Here is a 12,403-nt window from a genome sequence, read left to right on the forward strand (position 1 = left end):
TCCGTGAGCCTGAATTACGCCATCTATAATAACTGAAATCGTAACAATTACCATTTATGGCTGGGCTAATAGACCCTCAAGAACACACCCACACATTGATAGTTTGTATACATTTTCAGCAAGGGAAAAGTAAATTATACACAGCTATTAGTGGAATACAGCAAATGGATATCATTTGGACCATTTATCAGACCTTCATGGAATCACACATTTCTGCCTAAGTCCAACAGGTAAATGGGTGAGCCATGCCATTACCAAAATATATATTTTAGGCTACTAACAGGTTGTAGGATATTATGGAAAGCATATTAAAAACTTGATTCTTGGGAGGCTGAGGTGGGAGGCCCTTGAAACTCATGTTGTGTCTTATCATAACGCTTCCTCATGTGACTGGTTTTTTGTTTTGTTTTTGTTTTTTGAGACAGGGTCTTGCTCTGTCACCCAAGCTGGAGTGCAGTGGCGTGATCTCGGCTTACTGCAGCCTCCGCCTCATGGGTTCAAGCAATTCTCCCACTCAGCCTCTCAAGTAGCTGGGATTACAGGGGTGAGTAACCACCCTGTAATCTGGCTAATTTTTGCATTTTTAGTAGAGACAGGGTTTCATCATGTTGGCCAGGCTGATCTCAAACTCTTGACTTCAGGTGATACACCCACCTCGGCCTCCCAAAGTGCTGGGATGACAGGCATGAGCCACCGCGCCCGGCCATGTGATTGTTATAGAGATGAAATGAGACATTATGTGATACCGAACATAGTACCTGCTGCATTCCACTAGTTTTGTAAAGACGAGTACTTACGTAAGTTACGTGCTGGGTACTATGCCAACCACGAGATGACGAGTTTTTAAAAGCATGCTTGCCCTAAAACCTAGTAGGTAGGGTAGATAAATAAATCATACATACAGTGTATAGTCACCAGAGGCTTAAGGTAACCTACAAGCTGGGCTCTGAACTCAGATAGCTTATCGTCCGCAGAGCTGGTTAGTTACCTCAGGAGGTGCTGGCCAGAAGTGAAAGAAAGGTGTGTAGTCACAGGGCACAGCTAAGGCACAGTTTTGAGAGAAGGGCACATCCTGGAGCTGCAAATGTGTGAGTGCTGGGTTAGGAGGACGGATCTTCAGATGAGACTAATGTAGAGGGGTCCACATCAGGTAAGTTCCTAAAACGAGAAGCTGCCTTATCCCTCTGTTGCACGGCTCAGGGTCCCATCATAAAGTCTAGAGTTTGCTAAGCTGAAATGTCCTCTGCACTCAAGGACAAACGGAGTTAAGTGCAATTGTTTACAGTCCAAGAAAGCTCGCTGGCTGGTTTTTTCCTGGATGGCTGAGGTCACTTCTCAGTGACCTACAAGTCACGTCCACGTTTCTATTCTGCTCGGTGCGCTAACCTAAAGAAGAAACCCAACGTTTACTTGACTAACTTGATAATCAAGCCTCCCCCGCCGGGACACTTAATCTTTTAGGTACCTTCAGCCTACTAGACCCTGGTCCGAGGCACGGGTTCAGTCCTTTTTTTTTCCGTATTCTATTTTTCCCTCACAGTTAAAAAGTACTTCACAGTTAAAGGCGGCATTTTAGAACTGCAGCGTGAAGCCAGAGCGTTTGTCTTAGTGACCGGCCAACTTTCGGGCTCACTTTCGAGCTCTGTGGTACACCACCATTCTCAGATTCGACGTCTAACTCAGGAGACGCTGACCTTCGAATCGAAGGGAATTCGGAGAGTCTTGGTATAAGCCGGCTGGTTCACCGCTGTTAATGCCAGCCGAGAGGGAAAAAAAAAATTCAACCAACCAAAACAAAAGTTAAAAGCGCCACTCTTTCTATTCTTTGCTGTCTGGCAATCTCTTAATGGTGGCGTCTAGCAAACTGCAAATCAAGCTCCAGCCGGAGTCCGCAGGGCAGGGAGCGCCGGGTGCGGCCCAGTCCCCGCGCCCAGCGCGTTGGCGCGCACACCCCGTTTCTGCAGACTCAGGTTTTCTGGCCCCGCCTCTTTCGGGCCCAGCTGATCTCCACCGCCCGTTAGGCCCGAAACCCAGGCGCCTGGAGCCCTGCGCCCTCTGCTTCCGGCCCCCGGCACGCCCAGGGCGCGGGAGCGGCCGGGTCAGCCCGCAGACCTGAGTCCGGCCCGCAGCCTCGGGGCCCCGCGGGCGCAGCGGGGCGGGAGGCGGGGCGGCCCGGCCGTGGGCGGAGCGGCGGCCGCGGCCGTGAGCCTGCCCCCAACTCGCCCTCAGCCGGCTGGCCGGCGCGGCCATGGAGGTCTACATCCCGTCCTTTCGCTATGAAGAGAGCGACCTGGAGCGGGGATACACGGTAGGCGCGGGCCGCGGGCGGACAGGGCCCCGCGAGCCAGGCCTGCGGCTGCTGCGCCCAGGAAACACCCTTGGCCGCCGCCGCCTTGGCGCAGGGGGTCCCCTCGTTTTCTCTCCCCTCCCCCGGCCCAGAGGAAGGGCTGCGCCCTTGGCGCGGTTGTCAAGGAAACGGGCGCCCCTCCCGGGCACGGCGGCTGCGGGCGCCCCTAGCCCCTCGGGGTCCAACCCTCTCCTCCCGGACGAGCTGCAGTCCTCGGACGCGGCACTAGCCATTCTCCCCGCCGCCCGCCTTCGGGAGCCCAGGATGGGCTGCGTTCCTTTCTGGCACAGCTGCCCCCTCAGTCCAGACAGTAGTAGCTTCGCGGCAGATTCACGCTGGCTTCCAAGTTCTGTACAATTAGTTCAGCTGGAAAACCTGTTTTTTTTTTTTAAATCATAATTTGCAGCTGTTTATTAGCCAAACTAAACACGTGTATTGATTTTAGATGATTTCCAAAGATTTTTCTTTTTGAGTTGTGCAGTTCCATGAAATGGCAAAATTACTTGCTGAGCACCTGTTTCATACCTAGGACTGTGGTCACCGAGAAGTGTGAAACAGGACCCCTGCTCTCAAGAGTGAAGGGGAGGGCAGAGACCAGGGCATGGGCCCTTTGAGCAACACGTTTACTAAGTGAATTGTTGGTGGAGATTTCCCAATGAATTCAAAACATTCTTTCCTGGACAGTCATTGCTAGTGGGAGAAATGTCTGAGTGTGTGTACACCTTGGAAGAATTTACTTCCAGTTGTTAAAGAACCTGTAGGGTTGAAGAAAGATTGCAGGGCAGTCTGAAAGATTTGTTATTTTATTTACATCAATCACACACTTGCTAAACACCAGTTACATTACTTTGATGGAGAATATTTTAACCCCTCTCCCCTCCTCTAAATATTACTGGTATTTGGTGACAGTCTGTTTGGGCCATTGTGTTTTCTTAGTTGGGACTAAATTACCCTCTCAAAGGAAGATTTAGAATGAAAAACAGTGATTGAAAAAATAGTCCAGGAAGTCGGTGGGTTTTTAGAATTGAGTAGACTGCTGGATCCAAGTGTTCTGAAACAAGTTGTTAAAGTGCTTTCCTTGGGAAGGAAAATGCAGGGAGAGGGAGCTGTGTTCCATAGTGGTAGTTATTTATATAAATAATCCTTTCCAGTGCATTCACATTTCGTTAAATAGTCTGTATCTTCCTTAAAAACAAACAAACAAACCCTCGAGTTTGTTCAAGGCTTTTTTTTTTTTTTCTTGGAGATTTTATCCAAGTCTCTTAAGCCTAAAACCTTGCTTGTTGTTGCTTCTCCCAGGTATCTCACTTCTCCCATCAGCACTATCAACAGTCATGGAGGGCTTACCATCTTTGGGACATTCATTTAGGATCTGAAGATAAAAAGGCTGCTTGTTAGAGGCGTTGGCTTTCAAAGAAAAGATGAAGTTGATCTTACCGGTTCAAGCTAAAAGTTAATTACCTGCAGAAATAAGCACTTTGAAATAGACCATAATTAAGGCTCATTGCCCATTGTTGATTTTCTTCTATTAGACGAGCTGTGCTTTTCTCCCAAAGCTTTATGTATCTTTTTATTATTTGTATTTATGACCAGGCATGTGCCACACTCCAGGTTGTGAATTAAACTGATGTGGAAGGAGCTCTTTTTTGGACAAATTCGGGAGAGTTTGAAGATTGCTTATGTGATGAGAGTTTGCTCTTTAAATATTTGCTTAAAAAAAATCCTAACTCATCCAGATTGGGAGCTAAACTGTTAAAATCTCTCTCTCTCTTTTTTTTTTTGAGACAGTCTTCCTCTGTCACCCAGGCTGGAGTGCAGTGGGGTGATCTCAGCTCACTGCAACCTCTGCCTCCTGGGCTCATGTAATCCTTCCACCTCAGCCCCTGGAGTAGCTGGGACTACAGGCACATGGCACCACTCCTGGATAATTTTTAAATTTTTTGTAGAGACAGGGTTTCTCCATGTTGCCCAGGCTAGTCTTGAACTCCTGTGCTCAAGCAAACCATCTGCCTAGGCCTCCCAAAGTGCTGGGATAACAGGCATGAGCCACCACACCCAGCCCTAAAATACCTTCTGAAGGGATTTTTTTGCTTCTGTGAGTTTGTGAAGCAGTTATTAGATACTTTTCCCCTCTGCACAACTGGTTTTATGATTGTACAGCGGTTTTTCATTCAACAAATATTTACTGAGTGCCTGCTCTGTGTCTGTATTCTGGGTGTAGGGAATATAGCAGTGAATAAGCTATGAATATAGCAGCTTAAAAAAAACCCCAGAATTTAAAAAATATTTCAGTTTCCTAAATAAGAAGCTTGTAAAATAATGTACACTTTCGTGTAAAAAATATCTTTTTACTTTAGCGATTATGTTTGTGTGAATGTGTGTTTTTAAGAGCTAGGATCTTGCTCTGTCACCCAGGCTGGAGTGCAGTGGCGCAATCCTAGCTCACAGCAGCCTTGGACTCTTGGGCTCAAGTGATCCTTCCCCCTTGGCCTCTTGAGTAGCACAGGCATAAATCACCACAACTGGCTAATTTTTGTATTTTTTGTAGAGATGGGATCTCACTATATTGCACTGGCTAGTCTCAAACTCCTAGGTTTAAGGGATCCTCCCACCTTGACCTCCCAAAGTGCTGGGATTATAGGCGCGGGCCACTGAGCCCGACCTGTGTTTGTGTTTAAAATTTAAAACGGCCGGGGCGTGGTGGCTCATGCCTGTAATCCCAGCACTTTGGGAGGCCGAGGTGGGCGGATCACTTGAGGTCAGGAGGCGAGACCAGCCTGGCCAACATGGTGAAATCCCATCTCTACTTAAAAAAAAAAAAAAAAAATTAGCCAGGCGTGGTGGCGGGCGCGGGTAATCCCAGCTACTTGGGAGGCTGATACAGGCGAATCTCTTGAGCCCCGGAGGCGGAGGTTGCAGAGAGCCGAGATCGCGCCACTGCACTCCAGTCTAGGTGACAGAGCAACACTCCATCTCAAAATAAAAAATAAAAATAAAATTTAAAACACATTACATCACATTCTAACAAATTCAGTAATAGGAAGTTTAAGGTAGAAATGGGTGGTTTCTCCTCTTTGCTTCTAGTCTCATTCCCCCAGAAGTAAAGTTTCTGGGTGTATCTTAGAATTTTTTCCTTGTGCTGTGAGCACATACTTTTTTTTCTTTTAAAAAAATAAATGGCAAGATTTTAGTATAGCTGTCATCTTACAATTTATAGACATCTTTCAATATTGATATGGAGAGGTCTGCCTCCTCTTTCTAACTACTGGAGATGGGCTCTACCACGGTAGGATGTGCCGTAATTTTTTCCCCAGGTATCTGCTGATGGCCAGGAAATCCTTGGACATGATTTTTTATGCCCACTACTAGGATTTCTGTAGAACCTTAACTAGAAGTGGTATTTCCAGCCCTTTACAGTTTTTACAGATATTGCACGATTGTTATTCAAGAAGTTTATACAAATTTATTCTCAGTGTACTAAGTAATTTACCTTTAAAGAATGAATTTTTGCCCTTTAAACATGTAAAGCTTTATTTACTGTGGGCCTGTACTGTGTTGGTGGCGATTTAAAGATGGAAGGGTGGTGTTCCTGCCCTTAGGGATTCTCAGCCCATATAGAAGCTGCTCAGAGCTAGGCCGGGAAAGGTTAGGGTGACCCAATGTCAGCTGGAGCCTTGTATCCAGGGGCCTGAGGGAGGGAGAGGTCAGTTTGGCCTGGCAGGGTGGCTGTGCTGAGGTGGGGGTGCTTAGGAAATGCTGACTTTGAAATCTAATTAGGTTTTTGCTAGGATTGTGAATTTTAGAAAGAGGAAATACAGGACAAAATCTTATAAGCCATTTTAAAACTCAGATATGCCCCCAAAAAAGGGGGGGGGAGGGGCACCTCTAAATAAGTTTGTGAAGAAGTAGGAGATGGTAGTGTAAGAAAATGCAGATGCACCCAAATGTTACTTCCTGGGGAGATTATTCTGTCCCATTCCCTACCCAATGGCTTACTTATTTAATATCCTCTGCTATAAACTCCCCAAGTATCCCCAAGCTATAAACTCCTTGAGGCTAGGTAGTGTCCATCTCCACTGTTGTATCCTAATACAGAATTCAGTACATGTCTGTTGAATGAATAATGAGTGATGTAATCTTCATAGGAGGAGAGAAACCAGAAGAGCAGTGATCTTGAGGTGTGTAGCAGCTCAGAGAGTTAGGTGGAGGGTTGTGCTGCAGACTGGAATTTCAGGATTGTGCGAAGTGATTGCAGTAAGAATAGTGGGGAGAGATCAGCTGACTCCCCTTGAGAGCTATAAGGGAGTGTGGACCTTCAGACAGGGAAGTCATAGGAGAATTTTAAGGAAGGAAGTAACATGATTAGCTTTGCATTTAGAAAGATGACTATCTTAGTTCAGGCTACTTTAACAAAATACAATCAACTGGGTAGTTTATAAACCACAGAAATTTATTTCTCACAGTTCTGGAGGCTGGGAAGTCCAAGATCAAGGTGCTAGCAGATTCAGTGTCTAGCGAGGGTCCATTTCCAGGTTTGTAGGTGATCCCTGCTTGTTGTGTAGAAGTGGCAAAGATCTCACTGGGACCTATTTTATAAGGTTACTAATCCCAGTTATGAGGGCTCTGCCCATGACCTCATCACTTCCCAGAGGCCTTACCATCTAATACCAATACATTGGGTTTAGAATTTCAGCATGAGAATTTGGGGGAGACAGTCAGACTGTAGCGATGATTCTGGAGTATTCATCATTTAAGAGACACTTAAAAATGATCAGAAAGGAGAGGATGAAGGCTAGAACTAAGACTTTAGCGTTGAACATGGAAAGGAAGTGATGACTGCAGATATCTCCAGTACCTGGTGACCAGATGTACAGCAGCAGTGTGACTACCGTGGGTGCAGGTACCAGTAAGCAAATAAGAACTGAAGCAGGGCAGATATTTCATTTGGGCACCCACTGAGTTTTTGGTGATGGGTATAGCTATTTGATTTTGGAGTCTAGGGTGGATTTAAGTCTGGCTTAGAAATATGGCTCTAAGGGGACATTCAGCATAAAAGTTAAAAAAAAAAAAAAAAAACCCACAGAGAAAGAGTGAGGAAAGAGGGAGGGCCAAGGGTAAAACCTTAGAACTTGAATAAGCAAAGAAGTCCCAGCACAGAAGCCAGAGGGAGAAAGAAACCAAGGAGTGTGAGGCTGGAAGAGAGAGGGTGGAAGATGCTTTACAAGAAAGAAAGTGCCAGATGCTCCTGAGTGGTCTTGCAAGTTGAGGATGGACAGCAGTCCATTCTAAGAACTGAGAATAATAGGTCTTGGATGCCACTGTAGGCTTGTAGTTTGAATTTTAAGATACATTGTTGACAAAAATAACAAAACTAGAATTACTACTTAGGTCACAATACAAAAGTATGAATGTATTAGACTTGAGTTTTTTGGTTTTGTTTTTGATTTTTTGAGACAAAATCTCCCTGCGTCACCCAGGCTGGAGTGCAGTGGTGTGATCTCGGCTTACTGCAGCCTCTGCCTCCTGGGTTCAAGCTGTTCTCCTGCCTCAGCCTCCCAAGTAGCTGGGCCTATAGGCACGAGCCACCATGTCTGGCTAATTTTTTGTATTTTTAGTAGAGATGGAGTTTCATCATGTTGGCCAGGCTGGTCTTTGAACTCCTGACCTCAAGTGATCCACATGCCTCAGCCTCCCAAAGTGCTGGGATTACAGGCATGAGCCACCACACCCAGACTTAGACTTCAGTTTTTATAGCTGTAAAAATCACAGCGTTGAATTAGATTCAAGTCCATTTTAAGTACCTGCGTGACTGCATGTGTTATGCGTAGACATATATATCTTCTTGGGACCTGGATACTATCACTGATTTACTTAATAAACACTTAGAAATGTAGCATGCTCTTCAGTACACAAGGCAGCTTCTTATATATAGGATCATAATGTGAAATATTATTATGATCATTATTATTTTGAAGCTTTTATGGATTAAACTACAAAAATAGAACAATTTAATAAACTATCATTTACCCATTACCTTCAATATTTTATAATTCTTTCATTCACTACACCTCAGTCCCTGTCTTTAAAAAAAAAATTCTGGAGTATTTTTAAGCAAATTCAAAACAATTTTATCTGCATAATTTTACAGTGTATACCTGACAGGTAAAAACTTTTAAAAAGCATAACCAAAATGTAAATATTACCGCAAAATTATCAATACCTTAATAGCATCCAGTTTCTGGTTGTTTTTGTTGGTTTTAAAATAAGCACAATGTAAACCCTGCCTTGGAATTAACAGTGATTTGTGTGCATTTTATTGGTACTGTAGTGCTATTTTATATATGTGTGTGTGTATAAATATATACACACACACATATCTATCTATATCTATATCTATATATATATGTATATATTTCTTTTTTTCTTTTCTTTTTTTAAAAATTTTATTTTACTTCAAGTTCCGGGATACATGTGCAGAAAGTGCAGCTTTGTTACGTAGGTAAACATGTGCCGTGGTGGTTTGCTGAACTATTTTGTATTTTTGAGAACAAGTCCGAGACACTGAGTGAGGGAGCCTGGCTACCTGAGAGTGACTCTTCTGTTTCAGAATAGCTTCTTTTTTTTTTTTTGACAGAGGGTTTCACTCTGTCGCCCAGGCTGAGTTCAGTGGTACAATCAAAGTTCACTGCAGTCTTGACCTCCCCAGGCTCAGGTGATTCCGCCACCTCAGCCTCCCAAGTAGCTGGGACTACAGGTGCATGCCATCATGTCCGGCAAATTTTGTATTTTTGCTAGAGATAGAATTTCACCATGTTGCCCAGGCTGGTCTCGAACTTCTGCGTTCAAGTGATCCACCCACCTCAGCCTCTGAAAGTGCTGGGATTGTAGGCATGAGCCACCATGCCCAGCCGCATTTAATAGTAAGGACACTTTTCTCCCTAGAACCCCTGAGCAAATAAGTCTCCCTTCAGTTTCTTTCTCATTAGCCCTAGTTGATTTTTCAACACAGAATTGCAGAGGAATTCCAGTGCCAATTTGCTGAGGCCAGGGTTATCTTAACCAACCATCATGGCAAGGAGGGTAGGTTAACCAGATGGAGTTAAAATAGGAGGCATCTCTGGAACTGGGAATGGGTTAGTCCATTCCTGTCACCAAACCCCTCAGGCATCACAGTGGGAGAAGGGCAGCAGGATGTCAGGAAGACCACAATTCCACGCCATGTCCTTCAGTCATCCATTACCAGCATGTACAATGAAGGAGGCCATTGTGTAACAAGGACGTAGCTGGCACAGTGCCTCATTCATGGTAGGCTCATAGCAGAAGCCCACATTAAATATTTGTTGAATGATTAAATCAAGCATGTGTAAAATATGTTCTTTAGCCTTTTTTTTTTTTTTTTTTTTTTTTTTTTGAGACGGATTCTTCGCTCTGTTGCCCAGGCTGGAATGCAGTGGCACGATCTCGGCTCACTGCAAGCTCCGCTTCCCAGGTTCACGCCATTCTCCTGCCTCAGCCTCCCGAGTAGCTGGGACTACAGGCACCCGCCACCAAGGCCTGCTAATGTTTTGTATTTTTTAGTAGAGACGGGGTTTCACCGTGTTAGCCAGGATGGTCTCGATCTCCTGACCTTGTGATCCACCCGCCTCGGCCTCCCAAAGTGCTGGGATTACAGGCGTGAGCCACCGCGCCCGGCGGTATGTTCCTTACCCTTAAGGACAAGAAATACCGTTTGAAAACATTCTTCTTGAACATTAACAAACTTAGAATGGTACATTCATTTAAGAATTAAAATAGGCACAAGAGGATTGAATTTTGGAAATATGTTGCTTAGAAATTTGGGGGCACAAGCAAGCTTGTTTTCATTGAGCTAGAAATATGTTTTAACTTTTTTTTAGATGTTATTTTCAAATTTATGTATTTTAAAAAATTTTTTTCGTACAGGTGAGGGTCTTGCAGTGTTGCCCAGGCAGGCCCTGAACTCCTGGTCTCAAGCGATCCTACCGCTTCAGCCTCCCAAGATGCTGGCATTACAGCCGTAAGCCACTGTGCCTGCCTTAAGAACTTGAAAATAAACCAAATAAGTTATTTTGTTCTTCAGCCTGTTCCACTAGGAGTGTACAATCAAATGACTGGTTTTAAAATCACTTGGATTGGTTCTCTACTTAAAACACAAGCTAGCTACCCAGTCTTGTATTTTGTATTTTTAAGAATTCTTAAAAAACTAATTTTGTTTTGTATTTGTGTAAAGCATAGTCATAATTCTAAATCAAACACACTGCATCGAGTTTATCTACTGAAATTCAGCATCTGCTTTTGTCCTCACTTTGTTATCTTCTGCTCTCATCGATTACTATTTAAAAAAAAAAAAGTGGTATGAGGCTGTCCCCAGCACTACACAGATGAAAGGGAATTATTTTTTCTTCTGTATATAGAAGCCCTTACTGCTAGCAGATTTATGGGATCAAAAGATGCATATAAAAATAATCATAGTGTAGGCCGGGTGCAGTAGCTCACGCCTGTAGTCCCAGCACTTTGGGAGGCTGAGGCGGGTGGATCACGAGGTCAGGAGATCGAGACCATCCTGGCTAACACAATGAAACCCTGTCTCTACTAAAAATACAAAAAATTAGCTGGGCGTGGTGGCGGGTGCCTGTAGTCCCAGCTACTTGGGAGGCTGAGGCAGGAGAATGGCGTGAACCCGGGAGGCGGAGCTTGCAGTGAGCTGAGATCATGCCACTGCACTCCAGCCTGGGCAACAGAGCGAGACTCTGTCTCAAAAAAACAAAAAAAAAAAACAAAAAAAAAAACATAGTGTTACTTATGTAAAAAAAAAATCTTATGGCTTATCCTTCCATTGAAAAAAATATAAACACATACTAATATATTTGTGTCTCCACTCCTTTTCTTAAACAGTGGTATACTAAAACATTTTATTTCAACTTGCTTTTTTTACTTAATGATATATCCTGGAGATCACTGCACAGGGACATATATGAAGATGTATCATTCTCTTCTGTACAGGTATACCTCAGAGATATTGTGAGTTTGGTTCCAGACCACTGCAGTAAAGTGATTATCTTAATAAAGCAAGTCACACTAATTTTTTGGTTTAATAATGCATATAAATGTTTACACTACACTATAGTTTATTAAGTGTGCAGTAGCATTATGTCTAAAAAAATGTACATACCTTAATTAAAAAGTATTTTATTGCTAAAAACTCTAATGATCATCTGAGCCTTCACTGAGTGGGAATCTTTGTTTGCCTTGATGTTGATGGCTGCTGACTGATCAGGGTGGTGGTTGCAAAAGGTTGGTGGCTGTGCCAATTTCTTTTCCTTTTCCTTTTTTTTTTTTGAGGCAGAGTCTCGCTCTGTTGCTCAGGCTGGAGTGCAGTGGTGCAATCTTGGCTCACCACAACCTCTGCCTCCTGGGTTCCACAATTTCTCCTGCCTCAGCCTGCCAAGTAGCTGGGACTACAGGTGCAGGCCACTATGCCCGCCTAATTTTTGTATTTTTAGTAGAGACGGTTTCACCATGTTGGCCAGGCTGGTCTCGAACTCCTGACCTCGTGATCTGCTCGCCTCAGCCTCCCAAAGTGCTGGGATTACAGGCATGAGCCACCACGCCCAGCCGACTGTGCCAATTTCCTAAGACAATTAAGTTTGCCCTATCAGTTGACACTTCCTGAAACATTTCTCTGTAGCATGTGATGCTGTTTGATAGTATTTTACCCTCAGAAATTCTTCCAAAATTGGTTTCAGGTGTCTGGGCATGGTGGCTCTAACTTGTAATCCTAGCACTTAGAGAGGCCAAGGCAGGAGGATTGCTTGAGTCCAGGAGTTTGAGACTAGCCTGGGCAACCTCATGAGACCCAATCTCTATTAAAAAATAATTGCAATCAACCCTGTCAAATGCTGCTGCTGCTTTATCAGCTAAGTCTGTGTAATGTTCTATATCCTTTGTTGTCATTTCAACAGTGTTCACAGCATCTTCATTAGGAGTAGATTCCATCTCAAGAAACCACTTTCTTTGCCCTTCCTTAAGAAGCAACTT

General features: G+C 44.1%; 1 protein-coding gene and 1 long non-coding RNA gene across 12 annotated transcripts in view, besides 2 other annotated features; one reads left to right on the forward strand and one right to left on the reverse strand.

The window, feature by feature from the left end:
- LOC105379154 (uncharacterized) overlaps positions 1–2,164 on the reverse strand; it is a 57,613-nt gene extending 55,449 nt beyond the window's left edge. Inside the window, exon 1 of one of the 2 annotated variants that reach the window (XR_007058917.1) lies at positions 989–2,164. This is a non-coding gene — a long non-coding RNA (uncharacterized LOC105379154). The remainder of the gene's footprint in view (positions 1–988) is intronic. The other variant, XR_007058916.1, reaches the window with a different exon arrangement.
- Positions 1,553–1,702: a silencer, noted in NCBI's record as "silent region_16270". NCBI's record gives its function as "represses an Ori minimal core promoter by ATAC-STARR-seq in GM12878 lymphoblastoid cells {active_cell/tissue: GM12878}" and the evidence as "EXISTENCE:reporter gene assay evidence [ECO:0000049][PMID:35858748]".
- Positions 2,003–2,682: a silencer, noted in NCBI's record as "silent region_16271". NCBI's record gives its function as "represses an Ori minimal core promoter by ATAC-STARR-seq in GM12878 lymphoblastoid cells {active_cell/tissue: GM12878}" and the evidence as "EXISTENCE:reporter gene assay evidence [ECO:0000049][PMID:35858748]".
- Positions 2,228–12,403, forward strand: part of SNX24 (sorting nexin 24) — a 183,706-nt gene continuing 173,530 nt past the window's right edge. For all 10 annotated transcript variants that reach the window (NR_146145.2, XR_001742058.2, XM_017009395.2 and 7 more), the window contains exon 1: positions 2,228–2,308. Coding sequence is in view for 8 of the 10 variants with exons in the window: in XM_017009395.2 (XP_016864884.1) it covers positions 2,249–2,308 (60 nt within the window). In the remaining 2 variants the exon portion in view is untranslated. The remainder of the gene's footprint in view (positions 2,309–12,403) is intronic.

Source organism: Homo sapiens, chromosome 5, assembly GCF_000001405.40.
Source record: "Homo sapiens chromosome 5, GRCh38.p14 Primary Assembly".
In the NCBI taxonomy this organism is placed as follows: domain Eukaryota; kingdom Metazoa; phylum Chordata; class Mammalia; order Primates; family Hominidae; genus Homo; species Homo sapiens.